General features: G+C 34.8%; 1 long non-coding RNA gene across 3 annotated transcripts in view; it reads left to right on the plus strand.

Annotated features, from left to right (window-relative positions):
- LOC102724637 (uncharacterized) overlaps positions 1-21,524 on the plus strand; it is a 71,709-nt gene that overhangs the window by 30,515 nt on the left and 19,670 nt on the right. For 2 of the 3 annotated variants that reach the window (NR_188242.1, NR_188243.1), the window contains exons 3-4: positions 12,067-12,179; positions 16,810-17,106. This is a non-coding gene — a long non-coding RNA (uncharacterized LOC102724637). Of the gene's footprint in view, positions 1-12,066; positions 12,180-16,809; positions 17,107-17,502; positions 18,048-21,524 lie in introns of those variants that run through there. The other variant, NR_188244.1, reaches the window with a different exon arrangement.

A 21,524-nucleotide genomic window follows, 5' to 3' on the forward strand; every position in this document is an offset into this window, starting at 1 on the left:
GCAGGAAGTGAGCTGAAAACGAAGGTGCTATAGTTAAAAAGGGCACATTCCTAGACATTCACTTCGCATGGGACTACTGAGAACAATGCACAGAGAAATAGAGCAGAATCATTACCTAATTAAGGAAATTCCCACCCATTCCCTGCCCACCCTCTCACTCCCTCAAGATAGGGGGCCATCACCTTATCTATGCAATGGGATTTCAGATGTGCTATGAACCAAGGACTATGGACTGTTTCCAATTCTTTCCTTTTCCTAATTAGAGTATTCCATTGTTGTGTTTAGGGTGGAGGGCAGATACAATTTGTCTTTCAAGTTCATAGGATGCTGGAAAAAATGAAGACATAGTTGGACCTAATTCAGAGGCTCTCATGAGTCCAGAGTTCCTGGACTTTAAGTTGGACTCAGTGACTGAATAAATTTTAGGTTATCTTTCTTTGGAGGGGTTGAGTTTGTTCTCTGAGAAGGATAAGGAAATAAGCGAATATTTTGTGACTGGGAGGTTGGACTACGGCAGAAACATTTAATTGTCAAATATCTGCATGATCTTCTACATTTCCCAGCCTTCTTTACAGTTAGGTTAGAACTACGTGATGAGTCCTGGCCTCTAACAGCTATAAGAAAAAATGACATAAATCATTTCCAGGTTGAGGCAGTTTAGAGTACAGTGATTCCTCTAAAATTCTCTTTTTCTCTTTCATGACCCCCTTGGAACCTATGCATGAGATGGTGGAGGCAAAAAAATAGAGTGAATCATGATCTCAGAGTCACTGCTTAGAAAAAAATCCCTGCTGCCCTTAACCAGGCTTTGCTGTTTTAAGCCACTGCAGTATGGACTAGTCTATTCTTTCTGATACAGTTCTCTAACCAAGAGTTCTAAGTCATCACAACCACTGATGGAGCCAGGAAATATGCCACTGCTATAGGGATTAACTACAAACAGAGCTGTCTACTGGTAAGGATGAATTTAAGGTTTCATATAGAAATTATTAGAGTGTATGTTGCAAAGACTTGAAAAAAAATGACCGTGTAAGAAAGATTTCAATAGACCACCACACTTGTTCTCCTCTCAGAAAAGGGATATAGCAAAAATGTTGCCTCTTGACATTATATTCATTAGCAGCTGGAAAGATCATTCAGTTATTTACATAGGATTTTCAAACCATAAGCATCTCCCATATCCGACCATGCTGTCATATTTTCTGCAGCAAAGGAAGAACTTCATCTCCCCAACCAGCACATAGTACCAAACCCTATATATACTGATTTTCCCCTACATACATACCTATGATGAAGTTTAACTTATAAATTAGGCACATTAAAGATTAACAATAAAGAATAATAATAAATAAAACAATTATAACTGTATACTGTAATGAAAGTTTTGTGAATGTGGTCTTTCTCTCAAAATATCTTAGCGTACTCATCTATTTTCAGACCACAGCTGACCACGGTTGACTACGGGTACTAAAACCATGAAAGTGAAACCTTGCATAAGGGAGAGGGATTACTTTACTAAAGGATCTTTTTGCTTCAACTCTCTCCATTTTTCTCTTCTCGACCTCTACCATAGGTATTTGAAAATTCTCCTCCTTTTAGGAACACTGTGAATTTGAAAGCCAACCACCCTTACTATTCTTATGCTGACAGCATCACATAAGACACAATCTTAAGCAAGTTTTGCTTCTGAGTCCTGGCTATTTGGGCCCTTGAATATCAGCGCTCCCATACGTCCCCACTATTCATTGCTCAGTTCCTCTGCCATTATAACAGCACACTGCATCAACTCAGACCAGCCCAATCAGGAGCTCCAAGAAAATATATCTTCATGCATATTTTATTAAATTGATCTAAGAAAATTTCAAAGAGACTCAAATTCCCATCTTGGTTTCTGCATATACGCCAACTTTTGTAAACATAGTCACATATCATCTGTGTTGATAGAGATACAAAATCAAATCTCAAGGTAGATCCTTCACTCGATGGATTTCTCAAGACAAATTAACACCTCCCTTTGCGCAATATCAGGTCACATTATGGAACATTAATTTTAAGAAAATAAATATGTGTCTAAACATGAGTGTGGAAATATCAGTGACTCTTTGTTTAAATACACCTTGACCTACGTTCCAAAAATCTCCTATAAACGTGAACTGCTTCATTTTCTCCATGAAAGTGGTTGTTGGAGTCCACAGTTTTAAATATTCAATACCTCTTCTCCTCTTCTGTAATATGTCTACCACATCCTTATAAAAATCAATTTAATAAAAGGGAAATATGAAATACATGTATGTACTTATAAACATACAATAATAAGATGCTGAATGCACAAATCCAAACATTTAATTCAAGAGAAGCCAAATGAAATAAAGAAAATGGAAAGTGGCTCCAGCATTCTCATATCCCTTTCTTGGGTGACCAACTGTTCTGGTTTGCTCTAGACTGAGGAGGTTTCCGGGACATGGGATTTTCAGCACTCAACCAGGAAAATCCCTCCAAACTGGTACTAATTTATTACTCTTCCCTTCATGATTATTAATATGATAACCTTAGTTCTTTGCAAATTGAAAAATATAAATATCGCTTTGCTTTTTATTTCCCTAAAGTATGGAAGCCAGATAAGATTTGTTCTCAAGAACTCCAGACATCCATATTCAATCTCAGCAGGTGTAAATCTTCTTTCCCAAAGAGTTTAAGTTTTTGGATCTCAAGCAGTGAGACAGGCCGGAAACTTGTCCTAGGGAATCAACTGCTCTCTGGTGGTTCAAATATATTAGCATAAAGAAATCCTCTGTTTCCCTATCTTGTACTTCCTGTCCCAACTCAATCACAAAATGAGAGAAAAATTGTAGTAGAGCAGGAGACTTTTCAAATCTCCGATAGATTCCTTTCTTAGCTAAACCATTCCATTTATACATCTTGGCAGTAGTCATTAGCAGTGAGAAAGCTAAAGAGACAACAAAAGAAAAATGTACAAGTCTTTTTCAGGAGCTTCTGAAGTGTTGAAAAGTGTTTCTATTTAAAAGCTCCTGACAATGATTGGCAGGATCTGAGAAAACTTCACAAGAGGAGCCCCACCCTCTGAGAATTAATGTTAGAAGAGCAGTAATTGGCTAACACCTAATCCATTCTTACCACAGTTGAGGGATTACAATCTAATTGTGACTTTCTGGTCCCTCTCAAATGTCACAAGAAGAAGGTGAACAAAGCACAGATCAATACTGAACACCCTGGAAGGACTGCAGAAGTTCAAAGAAGGAGATAAGTCTAATAGTCTGTATTAAACTGACACAATAAAAACAAAGGGAAACTTGTATTGATTGATTGAGTGATTATCAACAGGCCCATTAGGCTAGTGTCTTCCCAAGAACCTGACATTTAAAATCAAAAACAGGACAGGCCTAATTTTAAATTCTGCAATGAGGGAATTTAATTTAAATGTGAGTGAGAACAGAGGTGCATATATCAACCCAATTTAGTACAGACAGAAAAACAGACAGAAATGGAAATTACAGAGTCAGTTCAGAATAGACATAATGAAGCCCATTTACATTTGATGTAATAGATGTTTAGAATATTAATAGTCCAAGTGGCAAAATTTGAGGCTACTGACAGTGGGTGTCATTAAATACTGATTTTTGAATTTTATTTATTTTTTCCCAAGCATCTACTAAATTATAAATGTACATAACCATGAAGAAGTTAAACCAAAATTTTACCAATCAAGTCATTGAACTTAAGGCCCTAAACCAATATAGTTATGCCTTAGTGAACAGTCCTTCTAGTCCTTCAATAACCGGTAACTGTGATTCCCCAAAGATACTGCCTTGAAAGTTAATACTGAAAAAGTTGATGGCCATCATTATTATTGCAGGGAGAGGCAAGCAAAAAAAAATGTGTCTTTGACATTTATCATCAATTGCAGAACACAAATGTGTGAATCATTTATCTTTATCCATCGTTATGTAGTAATCAAGAAAGATGTCTTTCTGAGTCATTCGGTTTGTCAACTAGGCAATAGTACATGTAATCCAAACTAAAAAAGAAATTACTTGGAAAAGAAAGAGACTCCAAGAAGAGGAATAGCAGACATATGCTCAAACTGTGAGATTTCAAATGATATAAGATATAATATCTAATCACACATATAGAAAGGAGCCATCTCTTTGTAGGGGAAAAATGATATTTAAGCACCAGGTTAATACACAGAGATACTAGAAATGTTCTACAAAAACCATGTGAAGAAATTAAGTGATACAAAACAAACTCAATTTGGCATCAGAATTTTCCATTCAAACTAGAATCCACCAGGAAAGGCTGATGATGTCTGTTAGATCCTGCCACATGTTAACATGGAGTCACAAGTCCTATTTTGAAAAATATTCAAAACCAGATTGGACATCTTGGAACCAATGTCTACGTTAAAATAATAAAGACAATTTTCTACTTCCATTGCATAACTTCTTTATTCATTATCACACAGCAGATGATATTTGTTTTTCTGTTTCATTTTTTTGCTTCCTAACCTGAGCCACAGGCCAGATTCTCCTCCTCTGTAACTCTGCAGGGACTCTTTGATTTGTACCTTTTGTGTACTTCTGTTTGGCATTCTAAATATGGCTTATTCTCCTGGGTTTCAACATATTTCTTGGCACTCAACTGCAGACTTTCATAAATTGAGGGCCCTGGAATAAGGGGTATTTTTATCAGTAGGAGAAATCTAGGGATAGTATTGGTTTCCATCTATAATAACGAGGTATGTATGTCATACATTATATGTTTGTGCTGGATCTTATTTGAATGATAAATTTTATTATCTTGCAATTAAAATCATAATGTATTGTTTGTGTGGTGACTTCTTATCTAGATTAAAGTAGGATTAATACTTCATTGATATCATTTCAAAAATTACTTACCAAAGATGAACTACCAGAATTCTCAAAAACAACTTATCAAAGATGAATTAGCAGATGAATCTTTGAAGTCTGAGATTTCTTAAAAATAAAGCTGGGTTTCTGTACAGGCCAAATTACAATAACCTAGGCATCTTATCTAGGAAATATAATTCCTGAAATGAAATCAGATGCACTTAAGATTCATTCAATCTTTGTTTTTAAAAAGTGCTTTTTACGTTCCAGGTGTTTTACATAATGTCTGTGGAGTGGCCATGTGCTCTAGAAGAGTGAGACAACCTTGGCATAACCTTCTTTAAGAGCCAATCACATAACACTGTGAATATTTATAAAATTTTAGACCATTACCTGTTTCAGCTCCCTTTGATGATTCATGCTAAGGGTAGAGAACCAGAAGGTATGTTTTCCTACAGAATCATAAAAATAGCCAAAATATATTTTTCTTTTAGCCATGCATTTCAACATGTATAAACTCTCTGGATGGTATTTCTTACCATTTGGTCCAACTCTACTTCCTGAAGACACTGTATGAAAAGAACTAGTCTAATTTAAGAAAGAATCTGTCCCTGGTAAAACAATACATATAAAAAGGAAAAAAGAAATCATCTAATTCAGCCAACTTCCCTAAAGCCTTGATCTTAGAATCTGGTTTTTAAATAGAAAACTTAAACAAGAGTTACTATCCAAGTTATTTTGTTCTCAGTACATGCAGGGTCATTTTATGAAAAATACACAGAATTAATTTAATTTTAAGGTCAATGAACCTTACACAGTCTAAATAGATCCCTTCTAGGTGTTCCTATTCCACCTGGTGTAGTCTCAGGTATATATCATTTTCTTTCATCATCAAAAAAATTTTTATTTATAATTTCTATTACTGTGGTAAGTTCATCTTCAGAGAGAATTACCATAGTTTGTCTGGAGATTTATTAAAATATATATGGCCTCCCTGAAGTGTGAAAAAGTGAAATATTCTGAAAATAACTTAATTCACAACATATGTGCTCCTCATACATGGGTGGGAAACTAAGTAACAGAGGTCTGCCGTTGTCCTTTCTTCTGGTTTAAATCACCTCTTTTGGAGAATATTTGAATTTTTGAAAAAGTCTGGGTATTTATGATTTTCCTTTTTAATTAAAAAAAGACACACAAAGGAATTAAAGTACTATCTACAGACTCATCATGTTCAAATAGCAGTAAGTATTGGGACAAATACTCTCAGTCATGGACTCAACTGAAAATGATCTCATGATCAGAGCTAGGAAGCTATAGCACAAAATACGCTGAAGATTAACTAAAATATTAATACTTTCAGTCTGATTCAATGGGGCTATTATTTTACTGGAAATGGAGATAAAACTTGAGAAAAGCATAATGAAAGAACTTAACGAGGTAAATGTAGTGTATTTTCAATATTTTCAGTGGTATTGTTTGCTAGGTATTTGTTACTTATGGGAAAATGCACCGCAACATCCTAGGTCAGCAGTTCTTAAAGCATGTTTCCTGGACCAGCAATTGCAGCATCTCCTGGAAACCTGTTGGAAAGACAAATTCTCAGGCCCCCACTCCAGATCAGAATAGAACCACCACTCTCTGTTTTAACAAGACTTCCTGGTGGGTTTATGCACATTCAAGATTGAAAAAGATTGTTTGAAGTAATCATTTTTAGGATGTACTTAATTCAAATATAGATAGGTTCCTAAAATATTTTGTATATCACAAATAAAAATAATACTTAAATTTATATAGTGTTTTGTAAATTACAAAACACTTTCAAATGCATTAGTCTCATTTGATCTTTCCATAATACTGTAAGACAGACTGAGGAGGAACTAGTATTTTTATCTTATATGATTAAGTTGAGTTTGAGAGAGATTAACTAAATTCTTAACCTCACAAAGCTAGTTGATGAGGGAATTAGATTGGAATCTGATCTTCAGGCAGTAAAACAGCTATGCTGTGACTAAATTAAGGAAGAGTTGATCAGAATTAGTAGAGGTTCCAAAGTACTTAATATTTTTAATAAAATACAGTTTTGTTTTAATGTGAATTTGTTGAAGGACACCCATTGGCATCCAAACAATGTTGTCAATTCTTTAAACATTTTGAATTAAGTATAATTTAAATATGCTAAAAAACTTACAAGGAATTCAGATTGCACACCTCCATTTTAAATAGATATTCAGTTTAAGCTCCACCTCTAAACAGTGATAGATCAAAATCAAATTAAATAAATTCTAAAACTAGAAATTTCAGAGTTAATAAGTTTCTACCAATAAATAGAACAATCATTCATTTTTCCTCCTATGCAAAAAGCAATTAAGGGCCCCACAAGGCCTCAGCCAATTCTATTTTCACAAAAGCATAAAGAAAAACTTAAATTTGTGGTAATGTAGTCAATTAATTTTAAATATTACTTCTCCAATGGACAGTATAGGAAGTAATTACTCTTCTATCTGGAACTTTTTATCTCCTACCTGTTAGATAATTCTAGATATTGTTCGCATAGTCTTTTTATAAAGTGTTAGGGAATACATAACTTGGACCTGCTTCTTATATTACTTAAGTATATCTCTTCCAAAATCGTAGTGATCACAGTCACTTGATCTATAAAATGGTTTCTATCATGACCCAATCTCATTCTAGATCCTCTTCATAATTTTGAAAGAAGAATTTAAGGATATTAACAAAGTTGATACATTTTCAGTTCACATGGACGCTACTCAAGACATGGGGATGAATGGTATTTCTTCAGTAAAGCTAATATATCACACATCACAGAATCTGTGAGAATATCTGATATCTATAGAAAGATTAAAGCGAATTTTTTTAAGCATGTTTTTTTTTTCCAACTGTTGCAGATGTTCTCAGATGCAAATGCATTTCTGGAAAAAAAATATATGTGAGATGTTTCTTTGAATGACACAGGAGGACAATTTAAAAATCTGTCCTGGAATCTCTCAAATTAGTATCTGAGACCGGATCCTTGAGAATTAGAAAGGTCCATGAGAATTGTTTTTTGTATATTATCCCTCATTTTGATGGTAAGCTTAAAAACAAATACTTTACCAGTTATAAAGAAACTCTTTTGAAGTGATCATTCACAATTGAACAAACTACTTTTAGACATTAAACATGTGTTCCATAAATCATCTCTTCTCCAACCAGGGTTCAAGGATGTACATCCAAATGCACAATGAGAACGTCTTTTTCTTTTAAAAGGTGTGTTCATCATTCACCTTTGGACATCAATAATTGTAGCAATGTATTCAGTGCCTTAAACCTGATAGCAAGAGATGATAACTATAAAATAATTCTCCATTAGGAAGTTTAAATAAATACAAAACATTATTTTGGAAGCACATAGAAGAACATAGTGACAATGGCACAGTCTAGCTGTATTTTCATGTAGTGTCAGTGGAATCATTTTGACTGACCTCAAAGGGTGTACCAGTGGGACAAGATAGAAGAATCCTACCCCATCATGAAAGAGTATTTTATCACTAAAAGGTTGAATATTGCTGAGGCATGGTTATAACATAAATCAGAGTGATTTTATTTGGTTTTATTATTGTTTTTAAATTCTTTACAGACATAGATCCCTGGATAGCCTGTGACTGGGCTGGACTACTCCCACTGGTCCACCCCTTGGTGCATGGCTGCTGACCTTACCACATACAGAATGCAGTCAAAGACTCACGCCAGCTATTCAATAGACAGAGACTCTCAGTGGGAAAAGGAAGACCACTGTCTGAAGATAATCTTTAAAATAATCCAACTATGTAGAAGCTTAAAAATCCCAGTGGTAAAGGAAGGGAGAGGGCAATAGATTGAAAGTAGATGGGAAAATGTGCAGGAAACTCAGTATTCTCCATAATTGTCTCCAATATATTGCTACCTCTTTGTCTTACCCTATCCTCAATAATTTAATTTGTAACTTCAAAACTTTGTCAAGGGTTTCTAAGTAGAAAAGCAGGCCATCTCTGACATATCAAAATAGAGATAGCCAGGCATATTTGTCACTGTCAAAGAAGAGAATTACAATTATGGAAAGAAGGAAGACTGGAACTCTGACTGAAGGTATCCATATGAACTCATGGAAGGATGGACAGATAAGTAGATAGTTAATGAAATAGATACAGCAGTGTGTGTGTGTGTGTGTGTGTGTGTGTGTGTGTGTGTGTGTGTGTACAGGTGTGTGTATGTGTCCAAAACAGCCTAGAAACAATGGTACTTCAGTAACAATAACCACACCTATCATTCTTACTTTGGTTTCTAAATATTATTTTATACTAGAAGAAAACAGGACTTCTTGGAAAATTGGCTTATGCCAAGGTTGGGTCTGGGAAAATACAAGATGTGCTTGGAACATCTTTAAGTCCAGAAAGAAAGAAATCACTCCCTTTATCCCCTTCCCCCCCAAAATGAGGACATGTTAAGATACACAAAAAATACTTTTGAATGGAGCTCCCATTGGCCAAATCTGGGACAAATTGTGCATCGTGATAAATAATAATACAATAGTAATAATTTAATTTAATTAAATGAATATAAGAATCCACAAGTCCATTCTAATATAAAGAAGTAAATAGATAGTTTAAAAGGGGAATTGAAAAGCTCATCTCTATAGAAAAAAATGCCAAGTAATGAATTTTTAAAAAATTTGAAATTAGAAATTCACCATGTGGAAATAATTATTGTAACATTTGACTCAAGCACAAATGATCAATAGATACTAAAACAAGAGGGTGAATATTTGATGAGAAAAGATATTTACAAAGTCTGAAAGTATCTCCCCACAAGATACTTATTAATTATGGAGGAGGAGATAGTAACTATGGGAGAAAACTGGCAGATACCACCTTAACCAAATGATCAAAGTTAATTCACCATTAGTGGGACAAATGGACATCAAGTGCCTCCTGAGAATGACATAACATCACTTCATGGTATTCCTGCTAAAAATGCCCAATCTGAATCTAATCATGAAGTAATACCAGACAAACAAAAAGATTGAGGGACATATTACAAAATAACTGGTCTATACTCTTGAAAAATGTCAAGGTCATGAAAAACAAAGAAATACTGAAGAATTACTTCAGAATAAAAAAGACTCAAAATGTATGACAACTAAATACAACACGTGATCCTGGACCAGAACGAATATCTATTTTTCTATAAAAAACATTATTAGAATAACTGGCAACATGTAAGTTTTTTGTACTATCATTTACTATACACACACACACACACACACACATACACACACAATTATAATTGAGTATAGTTTTGTATAAAAGCCAATTTCCTGATTTGTGTAATTATACTCTGGCTGTATAAAAGAACATTCTTAATTTTTTAGGAAAATACACACAGAAACATTTAGATGTAAAGAGGCAATACTTACTCTCTAACAGTTTAACAAAAGGGGATAGGATGAGATTACCATTTAGGGAGTCTAGATGAAGTTTAATTACTTGTGCTGTTTTTTTCTGTCATTCTGAAATTATTTCAAAATAGAAAGTTAAGAGAAAACATATCCCTCCAATATGGCGGAAATGTAAAAGATGGCACAGAAAATTTAGCTGCAGACGGGTTAAAGAATAATCTCAAGAGGTAATGGTGTTATTGTCAGTTTTCATAGGAAACAACAAAGGAGTCTTACCCCTTTCCATGGTTTATCTCCATAATCCTTAGAATGAGCTCCTACAGGTAAATGCAAAATAAGCATTGAATTAGAAAATTAAAAATGCGAAAGTATAGTAAGAAAACATTTTACCATCTAAAATGTATTTAAGTATTTAAACCTAGTGAACAACATCCAGGCAAACTGAAAGGCATCTCTAAGGTTATTTGTGAAAAGCAATTTACTCAACAATGCAAATGTGAAAGTAAGCCGATCCTTGGTGAATTCTCTTAGACTACAGCATCAAGGAGAAGTATCTAGGTGCTACTCAGGAGACAAGCGGATGTTTTACTCATCTTCAAAAATGTAGATAATGTAAAGAAGAGAAAGTTGCTTGACATTATACAAACAAAATTCTGAAACTGATTACAATCTTCAAATATTTGGCACATAAAAATTAAAAAAGAGAGAGACAATTGCTGCAAGGATCACAAAGATCAAACTCAGCCAAACTAACCTTCTTCTTATTATTTTTTTTCTGAGAAGCTTCCTAGCTAGACATACAAGTCAGGATGAAATCTATACACATGTATTTTGCCACCAAAAAGTTGTTAACAACATTTTACAAATCATCATGAACAAGGTAGAAGGGTATGGGCTGATCCCCACATTCTAACACATTTGGCAGAAGGTAGGTTTAAAATCATTTAGATCATTGTTCTAAAGCTTGTTCAAACTGTAGGGAATGATCTAGTACTGTAAAGGATTCTATCCTATTCAGAAAGTAGACAATTGAAAGGCAAATATGCCAAATTTATTAGGGATGGCTTCAGAATTTAACTACAGAAGCACAAAAATAAAAAATATTTCCACAAGCTGGAATTATTGGTTGAAGCGAACGAAGCTATTGGTTCAGTAAATATTCTCCAGTTATAAAATATAAAAAATTTGGAAACTGCTGAAGATATAAAAAGTAAAATGTGTTATAATGGCCAACGCTGAGATGGACTTTGCTGATATTTTCATGATATTTCTTCTTATATTGTGTGTGTGTGTGTGTATGTATGTATTTTTAAATGAAAACATTCTGCATATCCATTCATTACTTCTTATATGCATATATGCACGGCATGCCTGCTAGCACCTGGCAATATTCTAGGTACTGGGGACAGTCAGCTATAAATAAAACAGACAAATACCCTTGAATTCATGAAAGTTACAGTTTAAATATAATTTAATATCTTATTGTCTTCTCAAGATTATAATGAAAGGGTCTTTCATGTTATTAAATATTTTTAAATGGCAGTAAATAACTGCAATGTTTCATTGGTGGTATGTATGACTCATTTATTCATTTTCTTATTGTTGGATGTCTAACTACTTTGAAATTTTATTGTCATAAACAATGCTAAGCTGTTTTGTGCATAAATTATTAATTATATTCCTCATTTATATTATTAGAATATGACCCAAGGAATGTTATTAATGATCACCTCTTCCTCTTTATTTTCCATGGCTTCTGAAAAGATTGTAATGACTATACTTATACCTAAACAAGTAATAAATAAATGCATTTGGCTTCCTTACCTTGAGTATTGAATCAACATTTGAAAACAAAGTAATCAACCTTTGGCAATTTGGTGAGTAAAAAATTATATTTTATTAAGCTTTCACTTTACATTTTTATTGTAATTGAGGACTAAATTTGTATATGTGTATTGGACATTAGTCTTCACTATTTTGTAAATTATCTGTTTATTTTTTACTGTTAGTAAGTGGAATGCTCATCTTATTTACATTAGTTATAAGCACACTCTATATAGGTAGGAAGAATAATCATTTGACAAGATGAACTTCAATATGGAAAAATTTTAAAAACAAAATTGAGGGTTGCGTTAATCTCTCTCTCTCTCTCTCTCTCACACACACACACACACACACACACACACTATACAAAAGCAACATGGAGAATTTCTGACCTAATTGTACTTTATTTTGATTTCCAAATCTAAAGTTTTCAGATCATATAAAAGTAAATGATGACCAACACTGAAATACATGAAAGAAAAAAGCCCTTTTATATTTTTTATATTAAGAAAAAGCATGTGTTCAAATGTGGGAGTTAACAGTTTTACTCTTCTTTAAATGTGAAAAAAGCCCACTCATATTTGGATGCACATTTTAAGTGGGACATTGACATACAAAGGCTTTTCTGGAGGAGAGTGACCAGAAACAGAATACAATTTAAAATTATATTGTGTCAGGATAAGTAGAAGTGGGAATACTTATATTTACAAATGTAGTTTTTTTCTCTTTCCCACTCAGAATAGGAAGGTAGTGTGTACCAGAATAGTATAATTTTGTGACCCTCTAGGGCCTTGAGCTGTGACAGCCTCTATATGTGGTAGAATTTTAAGATGATTATTGAGTGCATGTATAAATGAATGAATTAATGAATCAACAAGTGAGCCAAGATCAATGAGTAGAAGTTATGGTATATGCGTTTTTCACCAACTTTCTAAGCATTAGATTTTCCCAACAAAGGATGTGCTTCCTTAAGCAATAGTGAGCACCGTGAGATTCTGATGCAACTGTCAAATATAGAGAAGAGATTGGGTAGATGGAGAGAGAAGCCAGCATTCAGCCAAATATTTAGTAAGGCCACGCTTACCTTCATAACTTTTAAACTCTTTGAGAAAAGACAACTATTATATATCATTTAAAAGTCAAAAAAGAAATGAATAGAATTAAATGGGAAGCTGAGAAATAACATAGAAAAAAATTCTATGATTTCAAGCCTGAGGTGAAGGCAAGAGGTTGAAGAAGAGATTATTTGAAAGCAGAGCATTTGAAACTCTATTTCAAGTGGGAAACCTGAGTGTCAAAGGCTCAGATTTTAAAATATCTTGAAATAATTTAGATCAGTGTATACCACTTTTGCATTATAGAATGGAATCATAAATTTGAATGTGATACTTTGCCAAAATGTTGAATGAATAGAAAATGTTAGTGAAGTACATTTCATTCATATTCAAATTTGGGAGGGGGGGTTCTGTGGATAATAAAAAATAATAAATATAAGGTAGGTTCTTATTATCAGTAGGATTCATCATTAAAACATAGCTGGCTTGATAGAATAAGTTATTCTAGAAAATGGGGGTATCATTGACATAAGACTCTTCCTCTAAACTTTTATACCTAATACATTAACTGCAATCATGTTTCCAGCCAAATTAATCAAACAGATATATAAACTATTTAAGACGTTTGAGTAGGAAAGCCAGAGCCACTCTTTGTAGGCTCAGTCTGCCAAAAACCATTGGAGGCGTCTCTATTTCTAATATTAGATACTACAATTGGACCTCCGCCTCCTGCCTCCAGATAACTACTCAGTAGGGCCGACTTTCAGCTTATGTGAAGATAGAGGAGAACAGGATTTGTGACATTCTGGGATTTTGCCAGAATTTAGTAGGTGGTAGAACTAAGGCTGAAGGCCAAGTGACAAATCCACTAGATAGCTGCACAAAACATACCCTCATGCTTTTGTTGATTAAAGTGTTATATTATTTTTCTGAGCATGGGGGTAGGGAGGAAATAGTCTACTTTTTTGAAAGTGTCTCTCCAAGAAAAATAATTCCAAGTTAAGGCTGGTATACTGTGAGGGGGAAAAAACTAAAATAAAAAGCTTAGCTGTAGTTCATTAACTTTAATTGGTTTTTGTTGCCTCTCCTCAGGTTTCCTGGATCTTTCAGCCATCTCCTCCCCCAACTCTCTGCTTCCCCTTCTTCTACCTCTCGCCTCCTCCCCCTCCAATCTGGCTTTCCCTCCTTCCTGGCAGCATTTTTAGCTTTAATTTGATAGTAAAAAACTGAATCCAAAGTTACAAAATTCTTCAGATTCAACTTCTTTGAAAGAAAAAGAAGTTTTAGAAAAAGAATAGATATCGCAGCTTCTAACCAGAACTCCTTCCGAGGCACATGTCCCCCACATGTGGCAGGTGCCCTATGAAGGTGAAACAGATAATATTCATTCAGGAAATATTCCCGTATTTAAAAATGGGTTTTCTTTTTTAGCTCTTAGAACAGCCACTTTTCTGGGCCCCAGAGATAAGAAGGGAACAAAACAAAGTCCCCATTCTCATTAAACTTACGCTCTACTGGAACAACAGACAAAAACAAATGACCAAACCAACATATTAAAAATGGTTAGTGATAAATACTATGAAAATACATAAAGCAGGGAGAAGGAATTAAGAGTGTTGGGATGCTACTTTTGAGACTATGGTCAACAAAGGTTTTTCTGAGTGTGTGATTCTTGAGCAGGTGCTTAATGTGAGACTATAAGCCATGTGACCTTCTGGAGGAACAGCATTCTAGGCAAGGGAACAGCACATGCTGCAGTAAAAGGGTCAATTTATCTGGAGTGCAATGAGCAAGACGGAGATGGGAGAGAAAAAGCTCAAAGATAAATGAAAGAAAAATATTTAAAAATTGAATAGCTTTTACATTCATCTTTTACCATTAGAGAGTTATCTGTATGCTTAAGTATTCTGCAATAGCCACCAAATCTATAAGGCTCAGAATAATTGCTATATGGAAATTTCCTGAGCATTTAATTCTGAAACACATGCCTTTTAGATCTCCGCTTCAAAGTCTCTACCCCAATCATTACAGAAAGCTAATCTTTTCAGAGTCTTAATTCAAAAATGAGGTGCTAATTTTGGTTTCAGGGTAAGAAGGAAGATGAGACTGAAATGTATACCTGAACAATGTAGTTGATTCTTATTTACAGATAATTGACCCATCCAAATTTAATTTTTAAGTGAATTTGCATGAACTACATATTTCTTCCACCTTTTATTTCTACTAAATCCCATATGGTTGGAGTCAAGTTGATTCAAACATAGTCCATAACACCTTAAATACCCACACATGCAGACACACACACACTTACAATTTTTATACTCAAATAGAAATGTATGTGTATGGTATGTGTATCTGATACCCCAAGCCCATGAGAAACAAGATTGTTTTTAATTGTAGCTTCAGAGAATGTAAGCACCTGCCTTTTTTAGATTCACTCAGAACTCCCCAAATATATAGATTACTTTCAAACCAAAGCAAAGGGAAGGGAATGTTAAATTGCTTTTAGGTGCACTGGATGATTTCCATTAGTCTTCACTTATTTTAAGCCCAACACACACACAAGTGCTAATTTTCATCACTAGTGTAGTCCAACCTGATCTACCCAGGCATAATTGCACCTAAACTTCAGACTTAATTCAATGCTTCCCAATGGAAGTAACAGCCAAATTTGGAAAGAGAGAAAAAAATTTGGAGAAATAAAACACTGCAATAATGGCTAGACAAAGAATACTGCTGTGGAGAACTGTGTTCTAGCTCTGGTACATGACCATTGGAAAGTTATTTCACTTCTGTATATCTCAGTGTCCTTATCTGTATATCTGTATAATGAGCATATGCTTAATTGATTGATGATTTTTAAGACCTAGTTAAGTTTTAAAATGCTATCATTGAACTTTAACGGGATTCAAAAAAGATGAAAATAAATTCTTAGATAATAAATCTATATCAATAATTTATTTTTCCTTTGTGACACTGTATTAAACAGAATGCTGGTTAAGACTGGTAATTGCTCCTTACAGAAAACAGATTTAATGTAAGAGTAAGTAGGAAAGTAAGAGAAAAATGGGGAGAGATTTTGCAAAGAAGAGATAAAGAGAGCTTGGAAGGTGAACTGAAAACAAAATCTGTAGCGCAGTACCCACTGAATTATGAGAGTAGAACAAGAAAAGCAGAAGTCTATGTGGTTCAACACTTGAGAAAGAAGTCCTATTAATAATAGCAAAAGCAGTATCAGGAAATGGGCCTTTTTGAAGGTAATTAGGTTTAGGTGAGGTCATGAGTGTGGACCCCCATGATGGTATTAATGCCCTTATAAGAAAAGGAAGAGACATCAGAGATTCCTCTTTTTGGCATGTGAGGATACAGAGAGAAGGCATCTATATGCAAGCCAAAAGAGAGCCCTCACCCAGAACCAAATCTGCCAACACCTCCATCTTGGACTTTCCAGCCTCCAGAACTATGAGAAATAAATGTCTGTTGTTTAAGCCACTCTGTCTATAATATTTTGTCATAGTGGCCTGAGCTACAACATATTCATTGTCACATTGTTCCATGAGCCATTGAATGAGAAAGTTTATCTATTAAATGAATTTAGGACCCAAATGCTGTGTATTTTTATTTGCAGTCCTTCAGAGAGAGAAAAACTCCCTTAGAAACCCATATTAAAAGAAACGTGCACATGTATCCCAGAACTTAAAGTAAAATAAAAAATAAAAGAAAAGAAAAGAAACATGGGGAAAAAGGAGCAAGAGGAAGTTGAGAAGAAAATTCAAGAAGGTGGTGCTACAAGGGCTTCTCAATTTTGTACTTTTTCCTTTCAACATTTTCTCTCCTGGACCCAAGAAACATCAAAGGACTTTGTATTCTCCAGTGAATGAAGGATAAAAATTAGACATGGAGACACTTGGTTTGGCAGAGCAGGGTAAGTATTCTAAACTAAGGGGTTGACACTTGAAAGTTTCTTTGTCCAGAGACCACTATTCCCTCCAATAACAAATGGCTTGTGTTTGGCAGAAGTAATGTTCAATCTATAACCATAGATGAAATAGAAATGGTCACTCACATCAAGGTTTTTGCAAAAGTGAATAATTGGCCAGGTGTTTTTTTAAATAATTCTTAAACTACTCTTTCTGTGGATCTATGTTTCCTAGAATTTTCTCCTTCTTAATCTCTTCAATCATATTGAACCTAGGCCTTTGTCCTCACTATCAAGGACAATTGTCAGGAAAAAAATCTGACTCAATAGCAATTTTATCTTTTCATTCATTTTCTTATTCACTCATTCTTTTCACTCTTGGTTATATTTCCATTTTAATAGGATCCAAGCTAGATAAATTACATTCCAGAAGTGGGATTTCAGATAACATTCAGCGTGGAGTGCAGGAGTTGAAATGGTGAGGGTAAACAAGGAGACAAGTTCAAAGAGTGAGTGAATCTAATTGTGATATTGGATATCCCAAGATATAAATAGCTTACTATTCTGCCCAAGGAGAAGATGTGCCATGAACACTGAAAACTTGCTCCTGTCATCCCCCAAGTTATAGGTTCATACATGAATAATCAGTCTTAGAAGTATAAAATTGCAAAATATATTTTTGAGAAAAATATATTAATAGTAAATTATTATGTCAGTAGCCACACATAGGGATCAAAGCTATTGAAAAATGTATTCTTATACCTTCATCTCATGATGTGTGTGCAGCTCTGTGCAATGAGAATTGTAATAATGACTTTTAAGAAATTTTGTCAATAGATTTGAGAGAAATGCTTTACTTTGACTAGATATTTTAAAGCTAGAAAAGAAATAAAGACCCCAGTAAGGGTAAGATTGAAAGATAAATAAAACTTTTCATTTTCTTATAACACTTTTCCTCAAATACATTTATGAATATGTTTTCCTACCCCTATAAGTTTTAGTAAACATGAATCAGATTTTAATGATTAAGAATATCACGGTACTCAAGATTACCATAGCATATATGAAATTATTCTCATTCAGTAGTGAAACTATATTTGTAGTAGGGATAAGAGGTTGAGTTGACTGATTTTCAACACCAGAATATACTCTTAAAAACTATGTGCTGTTACAATTTGGTTTTATCATTATTTTCCTTTTTCTTATAAAAATAGAACTCTTAATTAAAGGTTCCAATTAATAGTCAAACAATTGAGAAATGAACACACACACACACATATATATGCATATGTGTACATCTATGTATGTATGTATATATTTCTTTTATAGTTCTTCATAGTGCCTTACCTGGTGTTCTGTATATAGAACACACGCAAATTGTTGTTTTCTGAAAGAATAATGCTTCATCAATGTGGGCTCAATATTTGTCTCAATGGTACCAAAAGTCTCAAGTCTTGATGGTTGACAATTTCCAAGGCAAATTCATGCTAATAATCTTTGTTACTGCAGCTCTGATCAAAAGAGCATAGGCTTTACACCGGGGTTCAAATTTTGGCTCTGTTAATTACACATTTTGTGGCCTTGGGCAAGTTATTGAAATTTACTGAATTTTAATTCTCTCATCCATAAAATAGGGGTAATAGTACATGCTTCAGTGTGTTGTTCTGAGGATTAAGTAAGACAGTGTGTATAGAACAGCTGAAAGAGTGTCCATCTTGGAGTAGATGTTTAACTGTTGTTAAACTCTTTTCCCTTTTTTTCCTTCCACAGAGGTGGCTGAATATGCATGGCTTTTATTTACAATATGCTATTGTAGGGTTAGTCATTAGAGAACTTGAGGACATAGGATCAGTTTTAGAGCTAATTAACTGCATGTTTTATACTCTAACTTCTAAAGTCACGTATCACTCTTTTATTGTCTAAAAACAACTGTACTCCTCATCATTTCATGAAGTTATCACAGAGGTTTTTCCCTTTAACCAGTCTCAACATTGTTCTTTGAAGTGTGTCATACACATTCTTGCTTTTATAAACTAAATATTACGAATATAATCTTTGTATCAACAAATATATTTTAAAAGATTAGTCTTTGCCAAGCAAGATGGTTAACTATTGGATAAAAAGATTAACAAAGACAAAAAAGCAGTCCCAGCCCTCTCAGAATTCACAGGCCAGTCAGAGAGATAAGGATGTGAGGAAATAATTATGCTACAAGCAGGCCCATTCCTAACATTTGCTAGACCTGAGAATGAATATGAATAGAGGCCCACATACCAGATGCCTAAATATTTAAAAGTTACGAATTAAGCTAACAAACAGTTGAGTAAAATATGTTTTATTTTGATGCCTTGACAAATATACCTTCTTAACAATATGACCTACCAGGTTCAAGTTTAGAATTCCTGGATTCTTTAGAGATCAAGGCTGGAAAATAATACCATCAAAGAAACTGTCCTCCAGGCCCAGGCCTGTATTGTTCCTTAATTCTTACACTACCCCATTCCCAATTCTGCCTTTTACCATGAAAGCCCTTGGACACATGCGTGTGGACACCCTAGGCAACAAGTTTAATTTCCATCCACAATACACATTCTCTTCATCCTTCAGACCTAGTGGTGCTTGCACCAACTACATGGACAACTCTCAGATGCAAAGACCCAGGAAAACGATTCCAGGCAGTTTCTCCAAGGGGATTGTTACTGTTTGGGTAAAGAGTTTTATAATCCCAGGTATTCAGAGCATGATTCAAAAAGAGAGAGGCTAGGACTTTGGGTAGCACACCCCTTGGACCCCAAGATCGTCTCTCCAGCTAGAGGAGGGCCAGAGACCTTTAAATCAGGGCCCTTCTCATCCAGGTCTGGGGATGGCACTAACTACAGCTATCAAATACGGGTGTCCACAAAAGGCCAGTGGATCTCTGAATAGGAGAGTATAGCTTTTCTTCACAGGAGTGGGAGAGTTTTCAGAGAAAAGATGGCATTTGAGCTGGGTCTTACAGCATAAGTGGGAGTTTACTGTGTAGAGAAAGGAGGGACGGGCACTCCAGGAAAAGTAACAGCATCTGGGAAAACAGAGTTTGAAAGAGTGGCATATTCAGAGAATAGTGCGAAGCTCCTCGTCACTGAAGCGTAGGGGGCATGTGGGAGATGAGAAGAGATGAAGGTGGCAAGGTTTGTAGAGGGAAGACTGGGGAAGCGTTGATCATGATGAATGTTGCTCTCCCAGAAGCCATTAGAGATGATACAATAGTAGCATGGTACACTTTAGCACCAGCCTTGTGATTTGAGAGAGGACAGCTGACAGTATGAACTAGCACTGAGGAGATCAACTAATAGGTAGTTCCTCCCAGAAAAAAATCATGAAGCAGAAGCCCCCTGCCATCAATCACTAAGAGGATATGCATGCATGTTCTATAACTTATGAGACTGGATGGGGAGCATGAAGAAGGAAGAATAAGGTTTCAAATGTACGGTCACCCCCAAAACAAAGCAGTGAGAACTGAGACATAAAATTAAGAGATACCTAAGAGGAGCAATCAGTAGGACTTGGACGCAGAATGGGTAAGGAAGAGAAGGTTAGGACTAAGGAAGGTATGATGATGGTTCAAGCTTTGGTAGGCTATGATGCTGTTAACTGAGATGAGACTACGGGGAGAGGAGCAGGTTTTCTGTAGTTGACAAAATTCACTTCATTTGTATATTTTCCCATATGGAAGCTCACTGTCAGACCACAGGTTTCCGTGTGTAGACTGAAAGGGCCCAAAAGTTTTTCATCTTTTCCTTTTTCTGCTGTTTAAAACTTCTCTTTCCTTGTGTTTGTTAAGAGATTTTCACTTGATTTATCTTTGTGAAGTCAAAGCCCCTACATGGTCTGTAAATAGAATCATTCTATATGTTAAGATTATAAGATTAAACAGGAAACAAAACATGGACTCAAAAACTCCTCCAGATTTAAAATGTGGAAGCTTCAGGACACCCTTGCTATGATTTCTTCCTTTGCTGCTTAAAAGTTCCATCCCAATGGTTGCAATTGTCAGATTTGACCTCCAAATGAGAGGAAAACTGGTATCATTCCCAAAACTCTGCTAAAGAGGTCTTGGGGTAATTTGAAGGAATGAAGGCTGTTTGTTCATTTGTTTGCAATCATCTTTTTCTATCCATTGGTGATTTTCTTTTCTGAAATGCTCATTTTTTATTCGCCTGGGTCACAGAAATATTGTTGGAAAATCTTTTACACTAACTCTCCGCATGTTTGAAACATAACGGTATGCTTCAACTCAGCCATTTGAATTTCTCCTTCCCATTTTTCCCAAACGCTTTGGACAGTTTTAAAGACTCCAGAAGCATTTGTAGCCAGCTCAGTTCCTGGGAAAATGATTCAACTGAATGAACTAAAAATAAGGCCATTGTATTTAGCCAAGACCT

The sequence above is a fragment of the Homo sapiens genome, chromosome 5 (genome assembly GCF_000001405.40).
Source record: "Homo sapiens chromosome 5, GRCh38.p14 Primary Assembly".
Lineage (NCBI taxonomy): Eukaryota > Metazoa > Chordata > Mammalia > Primates > Hominidae > Homo > Homo sapiens.